The sequence below is a fragment of the Homo sapiens genome, chromosome 21 (genome assembly GCF_000001405.40).
Source record: "Homo sapiens chromosome 21, GRCh38.p14 Primary Assembly".
NCBI classification, from domain to species: domain Eukaryota; kingdom Metazoa; phylum Chordata; class Mammalia; order Primates; family Hominidae; genus Homo; species Homo sapiens.
The window spans coordinates 29,139,444-29,163,462 of NC_000021.9; the positions used below are offsets into that span (position 1 = coordinate 29,139,444).

A 24,019-nucleotide genomic window follows, 5' to 3' on the forward strand; every position below is an offset into this window, starting at 1 on the left:
CCCTTGTCCTCCTCAGGATCCGAAGTAATCTTCGGATCTAGTAATCTCTTCTCTCCACACTTTTAATCATTGTTCTCTGGAATAACTGCAAAACCTCATCTGCACTAAGCTATAAATGAATATTGAGTTTACCATTTTCCCCTCTCTTCTTTTTTTTTTGAGACGGAGTCTCACTCTGTCACCCAGGCTGGAGTGCAGTGGTGTGATCTCGGCTCACTGCAACCTTCACCTCCAGGGTTCAAGCCATTCTCCTGCCTCAGTGTCCTGAGTAGCTGGGATTATAGGCATGCGCCACCAAGCCCAGCTAATTTTTGTATTTTTAGTAGAGATGGGGTTTCCCCATGTTGACCAGTCTGTTCTCAAACTCCTGATCTCAGGTGACCGCCCGCCTTGGCCTCCCAAAGTGCTGGGATTACAGGAGTGAGCCACGACGCCCAGGCCCCATCTCTGGCTTTTTTTTTTTTTTTTTTTTTTTTTGGCATATTCACAGGGAACTCTGTAGGAAGTCAAGGGATAAAGTTCCCACTGGGATTTTAGAAACCAGGAACCAGGTATTTGCAGGAAACTGAGGCTCAGATAGTCATTATGAACTCTCTCGAATCACCTTCTGTCCCAACATGAGCTTACATTTAAAGCCGCCTCAGCATGCAGTGACAACATTCAGTCACAAGTGCCTTAAGGGCATGGTGGAAGGTGGGTGTCTCCTGTATTTACATTTCTGATGGAGCACAGAGTTGAGAACTATAGTAGAAACTGAATTATCAAATACTTATAAAATCAGTAATACACTATCTGTAACAACTTGGGGTTCATTATCCTGGTGTCAGATGAAGAGTCTGAGATACTATGGGATTTATTGGTTGGAATGTATTACTTAAAGTTGTGAAGAAAGGCCAGAAAGAAGGTGAGTGTTCATTGAGTACTAAGGAGTAGTGCTTTTACTGGCATCTTCTCATCAATTTAATATTGGCTGCAACCCCACAGGAAGGTGCTATTCCATTCATTTTCACAAAAGTGGAAATAAATGTTTGCTAAGTGAGGCGAAGTGACTTGCTTCAAATCATGCAACTAATACATAGAAGGAGGGTTCAAAGCCCGGTCCTCAGGACTGTTACTTCATTGCCCATTTAGAGGCAGAGTTCATGTTATAAGAGAAAGCTCAAAGCTTCTTGACAACAAATAGCTTCCCGACAACAAATAGCTTCCCAAAGGCCATGGGGTTGATGGAGGAAGGTTACTTCTGGTATGTTGTGGTAGGAAAGAAGAAAAGAAGGGGTAAATTTTATTTGGTGGTGTGCTGAAGGATAAATATACTTCCAATAGGCTCTTGTTTGCTCATTTATTTCTTTATTTAGACAGGATCTCACTGTGTCACCCAGGCTGGAGTGCAGTGGTGCAATCTTGGCTCACTAGAGCCTCAACCTCCTGGGCTCAAACTATCCTCCCACCTCAGCCTCCCAAGTAGCTAGGACTACAGGCATGTACCATGATACTCGGTTTCTTGTTTATTTTTTGTAGAGATGGCATCTCACTATGTTGCTCAGGCTGGGCTTGGACTCCTGGGCTCAAGCAATCCACTCACGTCAGCCTCCCAAAGTGCTGAGATTATGGGCATAAGCCACTGCCCCAGCCCCAATAAGTTCTTCTTGAGGCAGGTGTTTTTTGGACAGTGAGTATGTTATAACCTAAGTCAGTCAAAATATTCTAACAACAGGATAAATAGACACTCACAAAATGATAGCTACAATAATAGTGAATAGGTGTTTCCAAGAAACATAAAATTTGTCCTTGGCTGGGCACAGTGGCTCACGCCTGTAATCCCAGCGCTTTGGGAGGCAGAGGTGGGGGATCATGAGGTCAGGAGATGGAGACTATCCTGGCTAACGTGGTGAAACCTGTCTCTACTAAAAATACAAAAAATTAGCCAGGTGTGGTGGCAGGTGCCTGTAGTCCCAGCTACTCAGGAGGCTGAGGCAGGAGAATCGCTTGAACCTGGGAGGCAGAGGTTGCAGAGAGCCGAGATTGAGTCACTGCACTCCAGCCTGGGTGACACAGCGAGACTCCATCTCAAAAAGAAAAAAAAAAAAAAGAGAGAAATTGTCCTTAACTGAATCAAGTCTCTTTTTTGCATAGCAAAACCAGTCTATTGATGCATGATCTTGTTAGCCTGACAATTTTAGGTACTGGTTAAGATAACATCATGTTTATTAATTTACAAAGTATTGAAAACCTGCTTTGTCATCCCAAATCTCTATCTTTATCCATATCTGTGTTAATATCCACATCCATCTCTATAGCTATACTTGTAATCTTATGGGCCCTGAAAATCCAATGTATATTAAATAATTCACATCTCTAGTGTTTAATAAGCAGGAAGCAAAGTTTTAAAAAGCTTTTGTTGTGTCTTAAAACTATGTTATACTCTAACAAGGACTTGGGTATCTAGCAATTAATTTTTTTTGATATATTGGGAATGTGCATTGGCTACTTTTTATCACATATTTTATTCCTAAAAATAAAATATTAATTTAAATTTAGATTTAAAATGACAGTACTCAAAGACCTTTTATGCGTAAGTTAATTTTTTTTTTTTTTACTATCTTTCATATAAAAAGTGTTTGGAAGTAAATTTTGTTTTTGAGACAAGGTCTCACTCTGCCACTCAGACTGGAGTGCAGTAGCATGATCTCTGCTCACTGCATCCTCAACCTCCCATTCTCAAGTGATCCTCCTGCCCCAGCCTCCCAAGTAGCTGGGACGTCAGGTGTGCGCCACCATGCCCGGCTAATTGTTTTGTATTTTTTGTAGGTATGGGGTTTTGCCATGTTACCTAGGCTTGTCTCAAACTCTTGAACTGAAGCAATCCTCTCACCTCAGCCTCCTAAAGTGCTGGAATTACAGGCATGAGCCACTGCGCCTGGACAGAAGATTCTTAAATTCAGATTTAAATGAAGAGAGTAAATCCACAAGACCTGAGGTTATGGCTGCATCAGGGAAATCTCCCTTAAGTGGCAGAGGCAGAACTCAGTAATTAGAGTCATTGACCTTAACCCTGTGTTTTGCCTTTGTATTATTCAGATGATGAAGAATAATTCCCCACCTCAGAAGTTTAGCTTGATAGAATAGACATGGGTTAGAGGAAAAAGTGCCACTACTCACATATATACACACACAGCTCCCCTGTCTCCACATTACTCCTTTGGTTGGCTTTATAGTGAAAAAGAATGAAAAATGAACTTAATTATATTAAGCATTCATTGTTATTACTGGTTATTTCCTAGGTGCTGGGCTTTAGGCCAGTGATTGACATATACATTGCTTTATCAATACAAATTTTCAGAGACAGGTAATACCCTTCCCATTTTGCAGAGGAGGAAACTGAGTCTCAAGAAGATTATGCCAGTTGTTCACATTCACCAATTAAAAAGTGGCCAACCCGAGATTCAAATGCAAGTCTGTGTCCTACTGAACGTTGTACTGACCCGCTGTGTTCTTAGTGGTTAGGAGCCTTCATAGGCAAACAGTTCCTAGGAAAGTTTCTGTATGAGCCTCAACACTTAAGCCACTACTCAGATTCACTTGCCTTGTAAGTGTCAGTTTGTCCCTGGTGACCTGCAGGACAATTTACAGGACACCAGCACTCAGAGGTCATACTGCAGGTAGAATCAACTTCATAATTTGCAGGACATGGTGCAAAATGAAAATGCAGGGTTCCTCATTCAAAAATTTTTAAGAAATTCAAGACACTATAGCATTAAATTAAGCGTGGGGCCCGTCTGGAGGGCGGGCTCTGTGTGATCACATAGGTCCAATGCCCATGAAGCCAGCTGTAACTGCAGGAAATGTCAACAAATTCAGTGGATCCTGGGCAAGGCTGCCTCTTGTGTTCTGCTTGGGGAGTGGAGTGGGCTTGGGAATGTCCTCTGGGCATGGCTTTCCCTCTCCTGAGGTCTTCTCTGTGTGGAAACCTAAACACTTTTTTTTTCTTTTTTTTTTGAGGCGGAGTTTCACTCTTGTTGCCCAGGCTGGAGTACAGTTGCGCAATCTCGGCTCACTGCAACCTCCGCCTTCTGGGTTCAAGCAATTCTCCTGCCTCAGCCTCCTGAGTAGCTGGGATTACAGGCATGTGCCACCACGCCTGGCTAATTTTTGTATTTTTGGTAGAGACTGGGTTTCTCCATATTGGTCAGTCTGGTCTCGAACTCCCGACCTCAGGTGATCCGCCCACCTCGGCCTCCCAAAGTGCTGGTATTACAGGTGTGAGCTACCCCGCGTGGCCCAACCTAAACACTTTTTAACAAGGATTTAGGGCGTCTCAACTTACATCCCAGTTATGTCTACGATGGGGAGCACAGTGGGAGGGGGAGATGATTGATTGTAAAACCCAGTGAAGATGCTGTTTAGAACAGTGGTTCTCAAAACCTGGTCTGGCTTTGATGAAGTTTTCACCCCTCTGATATAAAGAAAGAAAGAAGGGTACGACAGTGAGGTGTTTTGGGTATATGCTTATTTTTATCTGTAAAGCTAAATGTATGTAATATAATGGCCACTCCTTTACTCTATGATTGCCTTATGATTTTGGTGTTGAAATGTTCTCTCTGTCCTAAAGGGATACTAATGATATCCGGTGGTCATTTTTGAATCATCTTCACTAGCTAAATAAAAAGTTGGATGCTCTTAAGACATAATTCCCCATGTTTTAGGGAATTTTTTTTTTTTTTTGAGACGGAGTCTAGCTCTGTTGCCCAGGCTGGAGTGCAAGCAGGGGCTTGATCTTGGCTCACTGCAACCTCCAGTTCTCACTGCAGCCTCCTGGGTTCAAGCGATTCTTCTGTCTCAGCCTCCCGAGTAGCAGGGACAACAGGCATGTGCCACCAAGCCAGGCTGATTTTTGTATTTTTAGTGGAGACAGGTTTTCACCATGTTGGCCAGGCTGGTCTCGAACTCCTGACCTCAAGTGATCCTCCTGCCTGGGCCTCCCAAAGTGCTAGGATTACAAGTATGAGTCACTGTGCCCAGCCAGAATATTTTAGGGAAAATTTTACTGGTTCATGAAATACGAGTCTGAGAACCTATGGACTAGTAAGTGAAGAAGAGCGGAGTGGTATGGTGGAAAGAGCCCAGGGCTGGGGGACACCCCTTAGTCTTACATGGCCACGAATCGTGGAGTCTTGGGTGGCTTCTTTCCCTTTTTGGGGTCCTTGTCTTTAGCTCTACTCTGAGGGGGCTGGACCAGATGGTTGCCTAGTCCTTTCCAGCTTCAATATTCTCTGTTAACTGATTGCTAGCTATCATTGCTAAATAACAGGGAGGATTTGGATTACAGACCCAATGTGTCCTATTTATTCAAGTTATGGAGAAACACAGAGAAGACAATTGAAGGGAATCTACAAACAAAATAATCCTGAAACCAACCCAACAGCTGCTCAATAGATGTTGAAAAGAGCCCATCATCAAATGTACTATGGTACATCATAATGGTTGGGCTGTCAGTAAGAAAGTTCTAGCTTAAGGACGTTGGCTTAGTCACATTGTATTTGCCAAACAGGCAGTGAACATCTGTTTATATAAAAAATTTTCCTCTTCTTTCCTTTATATTTCATCCTTTAAAAAATTTCTTAGGATACATTTTGCTTGGTCTAGTAAGTCTACAGTGCCATTTTGAAGAAGAAGCCTTCAAATTACTTCCTTAATGCATTAAAAATATGATAAAGTGATTTGCCAATTTGCGTAAGTCTGAGTCCCTGTCTTGCACAATAAATAATTGGTAAATTTTAATAAAAATGTACTTGTGCTGTGATTTTGTCCCATTATAAACATATCAAGCAACTATTTTTTTTTTCAAAAAAGCTAAATTTGCTAGAGGGTCTCTTGTACAGCTACTGTACAGTCTACTTTATGCTTCTGGAATTGTCAAAACAAACTTAACTGCTGTCAGGAACTCCGATCCGGTATCACTGTCAAAATGTTTTACAACGATTCAGCCAAATGTTTTTGGAACAGCTGTGCTACAAGTCAGCATGAGTCATTTTCCTTCTTTCCTTTTGGCCCAATCCAGTGATTCATCATCCTGCTTTTAGAATATTTGCCTATTTTTAAAACCAGTCAAAGAAGGCAGCCACTGTTTAAAAGTAAACACACCACACATCAACTTGGGGCAGCTTTGTAAGCAGCTTCGCAAGCCCTGAAACTTCTGGCTGGTAGGGATGCCAGCTAAACCAGATGGCATCAAACAGTGAAATACAGGCCTGGCTTTCAGACTTGGTAGGCTTCATACATCTGTCTTTGGTTTTCTTGTTTCCGCTGCTATTTCCTGCTTGGGTTAATCCAACTTGATCCATTCTTTAACAAAAGTCTTACTTTTTATTTTGCTTGACTCTCTAAAACATCTATTGTATGTTGATTTCTACGTTAATCAATTAGACTTTTATTTCAACTCAAGGAGTCCAATTTGAAGCTACTTTATTTATCTGTAAGTTTATCAGTATGGTCACATATGTGTGAGGTGACATGGCGTGACTATAAATAAGGACGTCGATTTCCACAACGGGCCTCATTAAGTCTGTTGATACCAGGTGTTTGCTATTTACATTACTGTAGTAAAGTAAATGGATAACTTTTTTTTTTTTAATAATTAAGCAGGAAGGAGTGTGACTTCACAGGGGGCAAGGTGGATTAAGTCTCAGGAAGCCTTAAGATTCATTCCTGGCTGTCTTCTAGAATTCTAGAATGTCTCAGCTGCTCTCATACTTTACAGAGTGGTTTCTCCTTCCAACAAGTGCCTGCTTGTCTATGATTATTAGGGTTGGGATGCACAAGTACAGTGTGTTCCCATTTACCTTTGCCAAATCATTCTGGCCTTGGACCCAATGAGCTAAAATGGTCGTGATGTCTAGGTTATTAAACTTGTACTGCAGTGAATGTAAACGCACTTAAGAACAAAATCAGTTTCACAAAGCATAGGTTTTATAATGAAGCCTACCTCTAAAGGTTCAGTGGTGACAAGTGTATTATTTTTGCCTTTTGTCCAATTCTTTGCAAACATTGGGGTGGATTTAACAAGGCACAGTAATTGGCAGAATTTGTCACTTCTGGTCTAAGTAGAGCATTCAAAGGGCCTTGGGACTGAATCTCAGTTCCTCTGAAGACTGTCCTCTAACCTGCAGCAAGGGGCTTGGGAAATTTCTCAGTTTTTACTTGTTCTGTGAGCTAAAGTTAAGTGATATCACTGAATCTGAGGACACCCATTGTCTAGCATAGGAGCAGATACAAAACAGATTCAAATTTGGTGATGCATTGTCATTATTTTAAACTACTTTTAAATGGAAGTATTGTTATACTACTCTTGACTAAAATATACCAGAGACTATTAAGTGATATGACCCTTGAGGGGTTTGGTCAAAGTGAATACCATGCTTGTTTAAATTATCTTTTTGGTGATTATCTTCGATGCTTTCAATGCCTTAGATGCCAGAAATGCCTTGTGTACTGCATTTTATTCTGGACTGTACTATCAGCACATTGGGAGAGGATACTTGTTTCCACATTGTATGTGGCCCATGTCACTTCCTCTAGTTCAAAAAGAACACCAACAAGTTTTTATCAAGAAATTTGGTGATGACTATGAAAACATAAAAACTGTTATCTTTTCTTGCTTTATTATAATTTAAAATAGCTTTGGTTTTTAAATTATTTTTTCACCTTATATTTTGCATACATACTGTATATGCATAGTATGTGTACTGTATATGCATATGTGTACTGTAAATGTATATATGTATAGGTACTATATATGTATATGTACTGTATATGTATGTGTACTATATGTATAAGTGTACTGCATATGTAGTATATGCACTGTATCTGTACTGTATACATATATGCACTGTATATGTATCTGCACTGTGTATGTGTACTGTATGTATGTACTGTATATGTATATGTACTGTACTGCATATATATGTGTACAGTATATGTATATGTACTGCATATGTATCTGTATTGTATCTGTATGTGTACTGTACATATCTTATTGTATCTGTACTGTATACATGTGTACTGTATATGCATCTGTACTGTATCTCTATTATATATGTATATGTGTACTGTATCTGTATTGTATATGTATGTGTACTGTGTATGTATCTGTACTGTATGTATATGTGTACTGTATATGTATCTGTACTATACCTGTACTGTATGTGTGTACTGTATATGTATCTGTACTGTCTCTATTGTATATGTATGTGTATGTGTACTGTATGTGTATTTGTATTGTATATGTATGTGTACTGTGTATGTATGTATCTGTGCTGTATCTGTATGTGTACTGTATATATCTAACTGTATCTGTACTGTATATGTGTACTGTATAAACCTAACTGTATCTGTACTGTATATATCTGTACTGTATATCTGTACTGTATCTCTATTATATGTATGTGTATGTGTACTGTATCTGTATTGTATATGTATGTGTACTGTGTATGTATCTGTACTGTATCTCTATTATATATTATATATGTTTGTGTATGTGCATGTGTACTGTATGTGTATTGCATATGTATATGTACTGTATATGTATCTGTACTATACCTGTACTGTATGTATATGTGTACTGTATATGTATCTGTGCTATATCTCTATTATATATGTATGTGTAGGTATACTGTATGTGTGTCTGTATTTTATATGTATGTACTGTATATGTATCTGTACTGTACCTGTACTGTATGTATATGTGTACTGTATATATACCTGTACTGTATCTCTATTATATATGTATGTGTAGGTATACTGTATGTGTACTGTATATGTATCTGTACTGTACCTTTACTGTACATATATGTGTACTGTGTATGTACTAGGGTAGGGATTGGAAATGAGTGGCCAATGGACCTTAGAGCCAGAGAGTACCTGGAGATAATGGAAGTTCTGCTTTCTAGCACCAAGGCTCGGTCAGCACTATGTTCTTGAAGAGATTGGGGGTGACTTGGATATTTTGACCCATATTTTGGTCAGGTTTCCTCAAATGCTTCTTAGAACTGCATCTTGCCATCCAGCAACAGCTGCCTATTGCCAACCAGTCAACGTAAGCATGAGTTAGGAGGTCTTTCGGGACTCTCTGGGCTCTGGCGCTCCCTAACAAAGCTGTGAATTCTGCTGCAGGGTAGGAGTGCTGCCTGGTGTATTGGAAAGAAACGCCCCATTTGGGTTGCTGCCTGCTTCTCACTGTAACCCAGAATGAGTTTCTGGTTAACTGCCTGTTAGTGTGGTTTGTGGTAGGAGCAGACAGCAATACCATCACAGCTTGTGGCACTTGGAGTCATTCAGAGCAGAACGAATGCTTCTACTTTTCACTAACATGTTCTCCTGTCCCATTAAAGTCCTTCTGGCCACCTCATTAGCACCTTGTTAAAGCATTTTGTTTCATATCATATTTTTTGGTTTTGGCCAATGTAAGAGTATTGAAAGACAAGCAGTCCTTCTTAATTGGAGAGCTGCCAGCCTGGACATTTGAGGATTCTGATATTTGCTTGCAAAATTTTGTTCAGGCGACCTAAGCTCTCCACGCATCTGTGTGTACAGAAAATGAGCAAAATTGTCCTTTACATTCTGTCTGTCCCCAACTGAAGTGATGAAATGACTGAAACAGTGTATACTGATGGTCTAACTCTGGGGGAGTCCAAGGACTCCTACAAGAAAGAGCTCCATAGTGAAGAATCATTTTATTTCCTTGTTTTAGATGATACACCCCCTGAAGACTCCATTCCTTTGGTCTTTCCAGAATTAGACCAGCAGCTACAGGTAAGGATTTTTCTAAAGTCTCTCTTCTTTCCTCCTTAGTGTCATAAAGTATAGCGAGCTGGGCAGAGAGTGGCCTGACTAGGGGAGACTGACTTGGACCCAGAATGTGGGGCTTTGAAGTCATCAAGGATTACATTTCTAGAGCTCCAAAGTCAGGCTGAAGCCCTCATGGAATGCCCCTGTCTGGTTATCTGGCTATGGCACCAGGACAGCAAGTGCTTATAGCATAAACTGGCTCCTATTTTTAAGGGGTTCTGGAGCCTGGGAAAAGGACGGGTCCCTTCTCTACTTCGATATGGCTGTCTCTAGGTCATTGCATTTTTGGCTTGTCTGGGGTTAGTGATTTAGTATTAAACTCTGCAGAGAAGACTTACCATGTTTGCCAAGACTTTGGAATAATCTTCCTTTCTCTGTTCCCTGCCCCTTCCCCAGTTCTCTGACAACTTTTAATGGAATATAACTATTTTAACTTAAACCTTCTGAAAATTGACTTGTTGGACCCATGACAAATTATTTTGTATATGTAGTTTCTGAGTGATCTGTTGAAAGATATTTTAATACACCAGAATTATTTGAAAGGAGCTCATTTATCACATTTTAATTTTCTTTAGATTATCCATGGTGATTCCAGGCAAAAATGGCTTTCAGAAGAGGTTCTGTCTAAAATACCAGGATACTGGCCTTGGGCCAGCCATTCACTTGAATACTTAACTTTGTAGTCACATTTAGGCAAGTCCAATAGGGGTCTTGAATCCTGTACACAGACATTTCTTAGTCACCACTTTTTTCTCCTAAATATTGATTTTGAAAGCCTTTAGGAGGGGTTTGTAACCTCCAGTTCCCAACAGGCCCTGACATACCCTATTATCTTACACACAGCAGCTTTTCCCATTTGTGGGTGTGCCTTGTGTCCTAACGTCATTTGAGTTTGGCATTCTTATTCCTGGACAGCCCTCAACAGAGGTGGAAGAAGAACCAAGAATGAGCCCTTCCGCAAGCCAAGATAGTGTTCCTTTTTGTTTGCTTCTGTTCTTACCTCAGTATGCAGAGCACTGTGTTAAAAACCTGGCAGCAACCAGGTCAGGTTTGAAGAGCTGGTGTTCTACTGCCAGGGTGGTCTCTAAAAACCAACTGAGGGTGACTCAGGTGTGATCTGGCCGCTTGGAGGAGTCCTCATTCTCACCTTTGTAGCAGTCCTGGGCATTGTCTCAGCTTTCCAACAGAAAGCTGCTCAACAGAGCATTATCAGTTATGTAGGTATTACTGAAAATTGTATAGGAGGTCGGAGGGTTACACTGATCACCACACAGCTGTCAAAAGAGCTCTGTCGTCCCCTAAAATTTCCTCTCTAGCTATCAGCCATCACGTCTCCCTCTTTTTTCTATCCTCCATGCAGGGTTCTCAACCCAGCTCTCCTGGCTTCTAATTTTTAACCATAGTCTCTCCCTTCCCCACTCCCACCCCCACCAATATGTCTTCTTTTCAGCATGAAGAACAATTCAGCTCTCCCTCTACCTTTCCTTTTTTTTTTTTTTTTGAGACAGAGTCTCCCTTGGTCACCCAGGCTGGAGTGCAGTGATGTGATCTCGGCTCACTGCAAACTCCACCTCCTGGGTTCAAGCGATTCTCCCATCTCAGCCTCCCTAGTAGCTGGAATTACAGGCATGTGCCACCACGCCCGGATAATTTTTGTATTTTTAGTAGAGACGGGGTTTTGCCATGTTGGCCAGACTGGTCTCAAACTCCTGACCTCAAGTGATCCGCCCGCCTCAGCCTCCCAAAGTGCTAGGATTGCAGGCGTGAGCCACGGCGCCTGGCCTGCATTTTCTTCTGGTCTGTTGACACTGCAAGTGATAGTTCTTGCTTAGGTTCTGTTCTCACAGAGAGGCTGTCTATGTGCTGCTGGTGGTGTAATTGGGATTGCTATTGAAAGTAATGCCATTGGCCCGGTGCCGTGGCTCACACCTGTAATCCCAGCACTTTGGGAGGCTGAGGCGGGTGGATAAGACCAGCCTGGTCAATATGGTGAAACCCCATCTCTACTAAAAATACAAAAATTAGCCAGGTGTGGTGGCACACACCTATAGTCCCAGCTACTAGGGAGGCTGAGGCAGGAGAATCGCTTGAAACCAGGAGGCGGAGGTTGCAGTGAGCCCAAGGTTGCTGTGAGCCAAGATCGTACCACTGCACTCCAGCCTGGGCAACAGAGCAAGACTCCGTCTCAAAAAAATAAAAAAGAAAGTAATGGCAAAAACTACAACTTCTTTTGCACCAACCTAATAGCTATTTTTTCCCCTAGTCATATTTTTTCCTCTTTATTCTATGGTCATGTCAAAGCTATTTTATTATCACGGAAATCAGGTGAAAATAAGGAGTAAACATATTTTGAAAATAAAACACTAAAAGCATATTCAGGCTATTGTTCTCTCATCAAATTATGGATCATTAATTCTACTTTTTTTGTGTTGGAACAACATTTTTTCCTTTGGGAACTTTAATGGTCTTCTCTGGCTCGTGGATCATTCTCCACAAGACTCACAGTAGCTCTGGCAATTATCCAGATAATTTTTCTGTTAAAGCATTGCCAGGTCCATTTGAATTTTATAGCTTTAATTCCACTTGACATATGTTAGAAATTAAGTCTATTTAATTATTTTATTCCAATGAAACTATTTCATCTTCATTGATCTTTAATGAATTAGGCAGTTGAGAGGGTAGTTTCTGGCTCATGGTTTTGATTTTTTTTTCCCCCTTAAAGTATGATAGTGCTTTATCTCTTTGTGAATGGAGAGTGTGTTACCAGCAATACAACCAAACACATTTCAGTAAGTGCTTGTTTGTTGAATGAAGGATAGGAGTGAGTGTTACAAACATTTACCAGTTGTCAAGGCTTTTGGGTAGGGTTGCCTCTGTCTAGAGCTGTTGCCTGTTATCTTTGTTCTGTACTCCAGGGCGTGAGTGACTAAACAGCAAGACGATGATGGTTGGGAGGAGAAATCTAATAGAAGATGACATCTAAAAGCAGATTTTTATTTCTATACTTAGCGTAAGCATATACATTTAAGCCTTCTGTTGCAGGAAGTCTCTGTATTGAAAGCAGTGAAAATGCTTTATGTACAAAAGGAACAATCTATTACACAGAGCAGGCCATCTTTATAGTCAGTCTCGTGTGCTTTCATTACACAGTAATGGCTCTTGGAATTTTATCGACTATCATCATCCACTATGGAAGAGTAAAAGTTGGATTACAAAGGCATATGAAGTGCCTTGTGGTTGCAACTATTTGCTTGAGAATGAATTGAGTCTTGATTACCTCTATCAGAGACTTAAACATTTTCTTGGTGGAAAATAGATGATGCTAGGTATTGTCAGCCCCGTTCTCTGCAAAACCTCGGATTTAAATCCCACCGAAGCCACTGAGTACCTATTAGGCAAGGGGTGTTTCCCTACATATGATCTCATTTGATCTTTGCAATAATGAGTAAGCTAACTGTTTTGTCTCCACCTTACAGATGAGAAACTTGAGGCCAAATTTTGGTCTAAATACATTTACTATTCCCTTCTTTCCCTTACGCTTTTTAAGGAATATACAGGCTGCTTAAATTACTTTGATAGGTGGAAACTTTTTTTGTTTGTTTCTGGTTTGCAAGATTGCCATAATGTAGTTATAGAATAACCTTGTAAAATCTGTTCTGACTTTCTGATATCCATTACACATGCTTTGGTAGTTTATAAAATGCTGCTATAAAATAGCTATTTGGTAGACACTCAATCACTAATTTGACCCCCAGGATTTTTCTGTTGTTTTGCCAAGAATGTGGACAAGTTTGAGCATGTAATTTGCAGTGCTTCTATTTTCACAGAAGCCAAAAAAAGCCTTGTGCAAGAATAGCAGTGAAAAACATTTCTCTTGATGTCTCTATTAATGCAAAATATTGAGCAAGAGACCGCAGGAGAAGGTAGGTGTTAAAATGAATATCTCTTTATAATGTTCATTTGTGGGCCTTGGGCCTCTGTCCAGGAGTAGGTGGAAGGTCAGTTCTATTTGTGCAGATTCCTTTCTTGGGACTAGGTTTCTAAATTTCCCATGCCCATCAGGGACAGTATTTGAGTAGAGCTAGTGTAGATGATATAGTCAGAAGAAAGGACGCCCAATTCTATGTCCATTTCTAAGAATGAATGAAAAATCACTATTCTCTTTCTTTTTTATGTTTTGAGACAAAGTCTTGCTCTGTCACCCAGGCCAGAGTGCAGTGGCATGATCATGGCTCACTGCAGCCTCGACCTCCCCAAGCTCAGGTGATCCTCCCACCCCAGCCTCTTGAGTAGCTGGGACCACAGGTGCATGCCACCACACCTGGCTAATTTTTGTATTTTTTGTAGAGATGGGGTTTTGCCATGTTGCCCAGATTGGTCTCAAACTCCTGTGCTCAAGGGATCTGCCCACCTCAGGCTCCCAAAATGCTGAGATTACAGATGTGAACCACCACACCCAGCCATTACTTTTCTTCAGGTCTCAGCTTCTTTCTGTTTGACTTGTCTCTCTCTGTTCTAAAAGATGGTGGCATCCTTTCATGGTCCCAGGGTTTGGGTCAAGACCAAGCCTGTCTTACTGCTTAAGCATGTTATGTTTTTGGAACCATGATTTGACTTACACATGATCCAAAACTATGCTATAACGTGGTCTTAACTTCATTGGAATGAGAAATATGTTTTATTGTCAGGTATAGGACATGATAACTAATAAGAATGACAATGACCAAGGCATGGGCATTAGCATTGGGTTGGCCTGGATTTGGATCTCAGCTAAATTTGTGATTTCCAGCATGTTATTTACTCTCTTGAAAGCTCACTTTCCTCAACTGCAAAGTGGAGATAATGATATCAATCTCACATTGTTGTGGGAATTAAATACGGTAATGAGTAGATCTAGCACAGTCCTTGACAAAATAATTGCTCAATTAATGTAAATTTCATTCTCTGGTGAAATTATTTATTGAATGAAATACTTAAGAATAAGTAATTTATTTTTATTCATGTAAAATGAAATAAAAGCATCTGCTTGAATTTTTAAGTTAGGGATAGAAGTTCTGATGCCCTCTTCTTTTCATTAAGCCAAGGTGCTTCGAGAACAATATGACTTTTTTTTTTTTTTAACCAAATTGAGCAATAGCTTCAATCCCTCCTTAAAGTCCTCCTATCTAATCTGAGATGACAGTGACAGGTGTCTCTGTGGTACACACTGAACTAACAGAGTCTGATAAGTCCAGAAACTGATGTCACCTCCACAAATAAACAATTTCGTAGCTTCAGTTGTGTACCATAATATCCTGTTATCCAAGCAGCCTCTCCGAAAACTTCTTTTAGATTTTGCATCAATATATTGCTTGACATCTGGGAAATGAAAATGATAGAAAATGAAGAAGTCTAGCCTTCCAGGATTCTGCTACACTGGTCTTTAACATCCATCTGGAAATGTGGTTAGGGTATATTCTCATAGAAAGCACCAGACGTAGCTGACATTTTCTCTCATACACACATTGAAAAGTATTGTATACTGCAATTTTTCTTTGATTGCTGTGTCCACACAGAAAACATATATAGATACTTTGGAGCTTTTCAATAATGCCTTTAATTTTTTGTTTGTTTTGAGAAGCTCAGTTGTCATTTAGGTATGGCTTGTTCAAAAAGTTTGCTACTCTTGTGTTCTTTCTCCTTTTGATATTGTTTATGTCAACAGAAATGACTTAAATATACTTTACTCCAGTGTAACATGATGTATAAGTTCTGTAGTATAATTGATAGTGCTCAACTTGTACTGTAATGTAGATACTATATAAATGTCATTTCTTAAAATATTTAAAGTTCTAAGATAATAGAGTTCTTAAATATCGAAATCAGCATGGACTGTGTTTTTCCTCTCAGTTTTAACAAACGATGCTTGTTAATTTTAAGACATTACAATGTAATGTAAATTTAAATCAGACACCCCCATCTTTCCCAAAAGTAGGTAACCCTGAGAATCAAGGAATAAATACAAAGAGTGCTCAGCGAGTGTAGAATGTTTAGCTTCCTAAATATATCTCCTGTGTGGGAAGCTGGGATAGGAAAATTAAATTCTGACATTTTTGAAGAGGATGGGGCCAGTAGTATTCGCAGAAGCCAAATAGAAAACGGAAACGCCCGAGCCGGCTTTGCTCCTAGCTGAGGGTGGCTTGGCTGGGTCCTTCCCCATGGGGTCTGTTCCAGGGAGTGGAATCCACTTCGGGAGGAGCTTGCTATGAACCGGCAAGCTCAGGCAGAGAGCAGAACAGCACCATAGCACCGTGTGGCTCAAGCCGGCATTCTTGGAACCGGACCCTGCGGTTTCTCTCTTACTTCATCTTGTTAAATCGGTCCTGATAATTGGGGCGGATACCAGAGATAGCAGCAGCTCCTTCACGCTGCACTGCCATGAAATATTAAGCCCTTGCGAGCTCCATCCTCAGGCGGCAGCGGGAGGAGGCGGAGATGGAGGAAAAGTGGGCGAGGAGGAAGTATCTCCTCCTGGGCTGTGACCTCACCCAAGCCCCAGTCTGTGTCTTGGAAACATGTGTTTCAAAGTTGGCTTGAGGCGCTGTTAGGAGAAGGTGTTAATTTCACCTCCTAAGAACTGGCTGCGTTGTATAGTAAACCAGATACGATGGCAGGGAGTGCATCTGAAAAGCTGCTGCTGTGACCGCACAGAATTTGTGCTCTAGTACATTAGCAGTATCTTTATTCTTCAATTTATCAACTCAACTATCTTTGGATTCCTTTTCTTTGGAGTGCAATATTTCATTCTTTAAGCAGGAAGGTGGGATAAGTGTATCCAAAATTGGAGGATGTAGCATCATTGTGGAGAAAATAACAAGGGAATTTTTTTCCTCCTGATGTGAAAAATAATTAACTATCAACATTAAGAGTTTATTTATCGTACATCCATTCCCAGCATGGGCTTATAACTATGAAAATCTCTCTGACAAGAATAGTCAAAATCAAGCAATGAGAACTGAAATAGTGTTTCTTTTATTCCAAGAAGTTAATAGATGTTTTCTCATCTAGTTACCCACAGGTATTCTTTTAAGTTATTTTACAGTTTTTAATTTGAGCATGTGTTACATAAACCCACGTACAGCCAGTTAATTCATGAGTGCCAGTGTTTTACATGTCATGTTACTTAAGCGTACTGACACTCCATTTTTAAACTGGAAACCTGATTCTTGAATTCTAAGAATCGATTTCCTCAGGCAGAAGCTTGTGTTTGATTAATACTGTTGGCCATATATTGTCTCTTATTTTGAGGGATTACCTCTCAAAAGGTAAGGTAAGAGAGGATTACCCTCAGTCAGGACCTGATGATACAACATACATACACACATTATATCACAAAGCAATGAGAGTTATTCCATCCTACATGGAACAACACATCACATTATTCTATAGTGCCACTTTTTGTATTAGGTATAAAACCTGAATATCTTAATACTTGTATTCACCAGAATTCCTGCTGGGACAAGAACCATATATATTTAAGCAAATTCTTTGATCAGTTTCCTGGCTGGGGTAAATGGCCAATGATGTCAACTGCCCTCTAAGAACAGTAGATTCCGTTGACCGGAGAGCACTTTGATTTGCTCAACAATGTTTGGGGTTACCAGTGAATGGCTCGAGATTATAAAGGGGTGAGAAATTTGAAGTTCTCTGGGGAGAAATTTGGGAAAGAGCAAAAGATTGAGTACAAATGGAGTCAGCCTCTCCTAGGTAACCCTGGTAGCACTGCTTAGAAGATGGGCTAGAGACAGCAGAAAGGTTTAATGAAATAATTTTTTTTGCATTGATTTTTTTCTTATTATGGGTAAAAACGCATATGGTAAAATTTACCATCTTAACCATTTCTAAGTGTACAGTTTGGTAGTGTTAAGTATATTCACATTGTTGTGCAACCGATCTCCAGAACTTTTTCATCTTGCAAAATAGAAAGTCTGTACCCATTAAACAACAATTCCTTATTTCCCTCTTCCTATGGCAACAAATGAGAGAATTTTACAATGTTTTGGTGGGTTATGCAATATAACCTTCCTCTTTACTTAAAAAATAGAAATCTATATTGCTCTTTAATGTTTTCATACAAACTTGGAACATTTGAAGTGGTGCTGAGTTTTATGTCAAGTTGAAGGCTTAGTTTTTAGGATCCAGAGGCTGAAGTGACCCCTGGAATCTTTGTACTCCCTGAAAACTGGATACAAAGTATTTTAGGCTTATTCTTTTTTGATTGTCCCTTCTTTATGATGGGAAGTCTTGAAAATATTATTATGTATAGATAGCATGATCATGCTGCTGAAAGCACGTGTGGATATCTTGAAATATGTACTACCTATCATCACATATGCTTAGTGGCATGATCGCTCTACCTATAGATAACAACATCTTGAATTTCCCACAATTAAGAGGTGCCAGTAGTAAAAAAAGAACAAATGACAACATTTCCCACTTAGTAAAAATCATTACAGGTGGTAAGCTGGGGGTGAGGCAGGGAAGGCCTCTCCCTTCTTAAGAAAGTTATTAATGTACTTTTCAGTTTTCCTTTTAAATTACAGCAGCAAAAGACATATCTCCCTTTACACGGCTGCTCTCTATGTTATCTTAAAGTTGTGAATCCTTTATGTAGAGTTCTAGAACTTTTTCGCTGCCACATAGTTAACTGTGCTGAATTCATGGTTCAGGTACCTACACGTACTGAGCTCTTGTTTCAACTGAGTATAGCCTGTGTGGTGTTTGTAAGGACAGGATCTGATGTGTAGAGTCTTAGGGCCTTCCAGGAGGCAAATCCTTTAACAGGGCACAGATGATTCAACAGCTTGGCTATGGTGCCCAGAATAAATTGCTTTCATTCCCCTTACTGTTATACCTGGTAAGTTGCCAGTGTAACAGGTGAAAATTGATGAGTGGGTAGCGATTTCTGGGGCACAGACTGGAGGAGCCAGGAGTTCTGAATTCCTTTGGCAATAGCTTTATCTCATGGGGCGAGTTATACTGTAGTACTACTGTGCGTTATTTTTCAATTGAATCCCGTATAGAAAGGGATGATGGTTCCAACAGTCTGAGTTTATGCTGTGAATGTGTTCATGGGCAGCAGAGAAAGGTGCTACCTAATATGATTATTATGAGATTTTCCATGAACTGGGACATAACAGATGTTCCACGTGAAGGTAAATTTGACCTAAATCTATTTAGAATTTTATTTCCTTTAAACATCTCTACTCAGAGGCCTCATGATACATAGGGAATGTCATCTTATCTATCAATCAGACAGTAAACTTTATTGAATTTCTATTACATCATGGGAGGGATCACAGAAATAAATATGACACCCACAGAAATCTGTGTCCTTGAAGAATATAATGAGAGGAACAAATAGTAAAAAATTCATTAGTTCTCAATTTCCTAATATAAAATTAGTGACAATATGACCTTGTCAGATACATAGTTTATATATAGAGAGAGACCATTGTGAAGAAAGGATAAGATTGAAGAGCCTATTTCACAATAAACTGATATTTCTCAGATTTTATTTACTTTTTTCTATATATAATTGAAAAGGGTGATTTAAAAAAAAACTCTTAACTAGTATTCCTAAAAGTAGTACTTTTTTTTTTTTTTTTTTTTTGCAATGGAGTCTCACTCTGTCACCCAGGCTGGAGTACAGTGGCATGATCTCGGCTCACTGCAACCTCCACCTCCTGGGTTCAAGCGATTCTCCTGCTTCAGTCTCCTAAGTAGCTGGGACTACAGGTGGGCCCCGCCATGCCTGGCAAATTTTTGTATTTTTAGTAGAGATGGGTTTTCATCACGTTGACCAGGCTGGTCTCGAATGCCTGGCCTCAAGTGATCCACCTGGCCTAAAAGTAGTACTTTTAATCACGCATTGCTAAACAAGAAATTAGAAAAATAAACTTGGGGAAAACTCGTTCTTTAAAAATAATTCCTAGAAGTAGGGTTTTCACCATGTTGCGGTCAGAAAGGCTTGCCACGCTGGCCTTTGCTTCTTTCATGGATGGGAGAAAAAGAGAAACATGAATCTTATAGGGATGGTTTTTTTTTAGGGGGAGGGAGATCCGGCCTTTCTTACAGGTTGCTTAATCCTTGCAAGCATTATTTCTGGCTCAGCATCTTTCTTTAGCCCAAATGCATTTCTCAGAAGAGAGCTTTTCTTCTCTACTCTGCAAGATGAGATTATACCTCCTGGCTACAGAAACAGAAAGCAAGGGATAATTGAAACAGACAACTGAACTATTTCCCCACCACTGCTCTTCTCTAAAGCAAAGTCTAAGATTTCCGGGGAGTACGGTAGAATCCTTTGGAGACTTATTTTTACTCCATCACAAGGCAGGTAACTGACATGTAATGGATTTCAGGGCTCTGGCTCAGGCCTGAGATGCCCATGAATGACACTGGGAGATGAATGTGGAGACTATCTGTCCACCTCTCTATTTTCAGTCAAATAGAATCAGCTGAACTCTGTTGAATGTTGACTGACAATGCTGTTCTCACGTTAAAAAAAAAAAAGAAGAAGAAAAAACCTTCGTTTAAAGAACATCAGCGAGCAAAATGGTTGGTAATTTATCCTGATGCAAAGAAATGGACTAATTTCTTCTTGTTGTTTGTGAAGCCCCTGCCGCCTTGTCATGACTCCGAGGAATCCATGGAGGTGTTCAAACAGCACTGCCAAATAGCAGAAGAATACCATGAGGTCAAAAAGGAAATCACCCTGCTTGAGCAAAGGAAGTAAGTACCTACCCCCCTCACTCTACATCTGAGCACTGCCTACTGGGCAAGGACCAGGGGCAATGGGCAGGGGACAGGCTGAGTGTGAGGATGACAGGGAGGCAAGGGGGTTACAGCAATGATTCAAGTGGTGCTATTGGAGATTAAGTGCTTTATGGAGTAGCAAAAGGAATACCAGGAATGCTTCCTACTCAAAACTTAATTTTTTAAATAAGACATTTTAGTTCATGAAATTAAAAATGCCAAAATACCACCCAAAACCACACTATGTTTTCCGTAAATGTGCCCAGAGGCTGCAGAGCACTGTGGCTTGGTGTGAATTTTAATTTCTGCTTAAATGATGGCATTCCCACATCACGTGAAGAAGCCACTGGGATAGCTCTTCAAAATAATGTAAACGTTTTAGTTGACTGACTACATTTTATAGTAGGGTAAGTTTTTATCTTGATAGCTTTTATTACTATTACAGTTCTGCTATAGGGAATTATACAGTTCTATTAATTAAAGCATTCTGATTTTACTCACTCATAACTTTTTGTTTCTGGATCCTTCTTTTTAATTGCACTTGATTCCGCCAGTGCCTACCCCAGTGAATCCCATTCTTTTATACTTGCAAAGCTTCAGAGTAGACACCTTTCCTTCACAGTACTAGCTGGTTGGGATTTCCCATTTATTAACGAGATATCTTGATTACTAGGATCTTTTGATTAGATCTCCTTTTGATTACATCTCCTACTAGGTGGTAAGTGCCATAAAAGCACTGATAGTCAGGTGTTGTCACCATCAGATTCCTGGAGCCTGGTATGATATGTGGCACCTAGAGGCTGAGTAAATTATTGTTGATGTGTGAAACAGAACACAAACATATTGTGATTCTTTATTTCTTATATATCACGTGTCACCCTAATAAAAGGAAGGGGAGAAGAAATAAACATGCTACCATGCTCAGCTAATTAAAAAATATTTTGTGGGGGCCGGGCGCAGTGGCCCACGCCTATAATCCCAGCACTTTAGGAGGCCGAGGCTGGTAGATCACCTGAGGTCAGGATTTGAGAACAGCCTGGCCAACATGGTGAAACCCTGTCTCTACTAAAAATACAAAAATTAGCCGGGTGTGGTGGCGGGCACCTGTAATCCCAGCTACTCGGGAGGCTGAGGCAGGAGAATCGCTTGAACCTGGGAGGCAGAGGTTGCAGTGAGCTGAGATCACGTGCCACTATACTTCAGCCTGGGCAACAGAGTGAGACTCTATCTCAAAAAAAACAATTTTTTTTTTACAGATGGGATCTTGTTATCTTGCCCAGGCTTGTCTCAAACTTCTGACCTCAAGCAATCCTCCAACCTTGGCCTCCCAAAGTGCTGGTATTACAGAGTCAATATCAGCAATAAAGGGCTGCTAAGATGAATTGTTAAATTAGGAAATATGATTATATCTTATATTTATAAATACATGAGGTTGGTTTTCCAAGGGTTATTAATGATTATTATTTTCATTAATATAGATATGAAATTTCATAAAGGAATTAAAGATTATTAATAATGTGACCAGTATTGAAGTCAAAGGAAGATTTATATAATCAATAGCCTGTGAATAAATGTATCTTCTGGTGTGTGTATGTGAAGTGTGGTGGTATAATAAAAATACACACACACACAAAATTTAATTTTTACAAAAAGCGAATGAAATATATTTTGTGTTGAGAAGTTTGTGAAATCCTTACAATTTTTTTGAGACTCCCAGAATGGTGGTCGGACAGTATAGCATGATGGTGGACAGTATGGGTTTTGGGGCCAGACTTCTGCAAAACCTCAGTTAGTACCTTACAAACCCTTCCTTCCTTGCTTGGTTTGCCATGCTTCAAACATAAAATTGTATCTAGACTTTTGGCTACAGGGGATTAAAAGATGTTTATTAGGAGGTCACAAATACAAATTTTCTCTTCCATGTCTGACTATTTTCTTTTTGTTCTAAGAGTTTTGATAAAGTTGCTTGGAATACTCAGATTGCATGATTACACACAGTTGGAGTCCTACAAAAAATTTCATGAAGGAATTGAGGATTATTAATCATGTGATCCATATTGAAGTCAAAGAAGATCTATATGACGAATAGCCTGTAAATGTATCTTCTGGTGTGTGTGTGTGAAGTGTGGTGGTATGATAGAAAAATCCTCAGTAATTATGTCTCTATTTATAAACTCTTCAGACTGAAGGTACTGGAGGACTTTGTTATTTAAATTAAATTTATGTGTAGCTTTTTTTTTTTTGGAAATGCAATACTCATCCCCTAAATTACATGTTCTGTAAGTTTTTTTTATGTTGCATTAAAAAAAATATGGTAGGGGCCAGACGCAGTGTCTCACACCTGTAATTTCAGCACTTTGGGAGGCCGAGGCAGGCAGATCACCTGAGGTCAGGAGTTCGAGACCAGCCTGGCCAACATGGCAAAACCCTGTCTCTACTAAAAAATACAAAAATTAGCCTGGTGTAGTGGTGGGCGCATGTAATCCCAGCTACTCGGGAGGCTGAGGCAGGAGAATCGCTTGAACCCAGGAGGTGAAGGTTACAGGGAGCTGAGATCGTGCCATTGCACTCCAGCCTGGGCAACAAGAGCAAAACTCTGTCTCAAAAAAAAAAAAAAAATGATATGGTAGGATAATGACATGAGAGTGACTCCTATCTAATGTTTGAAACATATCCTTACTGTTTACATTGAAAGCAATGATAACTCTGGGTACCACTACAACAATATTAAAATGAAAAAAGGGGCCAGGCGCAGAGGCTCACACCTGTAATCCCAGCACTTTGGGAGGAAAGGCAGGCGGATCACCTGAGGTCAGGAGTTTGAGACTAGCCTGGCCAACATGGCAAAGCCCTGTCTCTACTAAAAATACAAAAAAATTAGTCGGGTGTGGTAGATAGCACGTGCCTGTAATCGCAGCTACTCAAGAGGCTGAGTCATGAGAATTGCTTGAACCCAGTAGGCGGAGGTTGCAGTGAGCCAAGATCACGCCACTGCATTCCAGCCTGGGTGACGGAGTGAGACTGTCTCAAAAAAATAAAAATAAAAAATAAAAAAAGGAAAAGTCAACTTCTAGAAGTAACATGGCTAGCAGGCTAGTGGAGGTATTTTATACAACCTTCCAGACCACATACAAGTGGGCCGGACCCCCTCCTTAATTACTTATATGCCTGTGTGTGTTTCTGCAGAACTCATCTTGTTTCCTTCCCCAAAGTACTTGAAGTGTCTCCCTAAATAATTGGCTAGATGTAGGGCCAAGGCCAAATTCTTTCATTATATATATATTTTCTTTTTCGTAAAGTCTCAAGTTCCTTTTTCTTCATTCTCACTTCTACCATTTGGGCTTGGGACTTATTACTTGAGATCTTGGTTGATGCAATATTG

General features: G+C 40.1%; 1 protein-coding gene across 16 annotated transcripts in view; it reads left to right on the forward strand.

Annotated features, from left to right (window-relative positions):
• The window catches only part of MAP3K7CL (MAP3K7 C-terminal like), a 98,774-nt gene that overhangs the window by 62,330 nt on the left and 12,425 nt on the right, over positions 1 to 24,019 (forward strand). For 15 of the 16 annotated variants that reach the window (XM_047440930.1, NM_020152.4, NM_001371374.1 and 12 more), the window contains 2 exons: positions 9,746 to 9,807; positions 20,498 to 20,613. In XM_047440930.1, the coding sequence (XP_047296886.1) occupies positions 9,746 to 9,807; positions 20,498 to 20,613 (178 nt within the window). Of the gene's footprint in view, positions 1 to 6,133; positions 6,265 to 9,745; positions 9,808 to 20,497; positions 20,614 to 24,019 lie in introns of those variants that run through there. The other variant, NM_001286624.2, reaches the window with a different exon arrangement.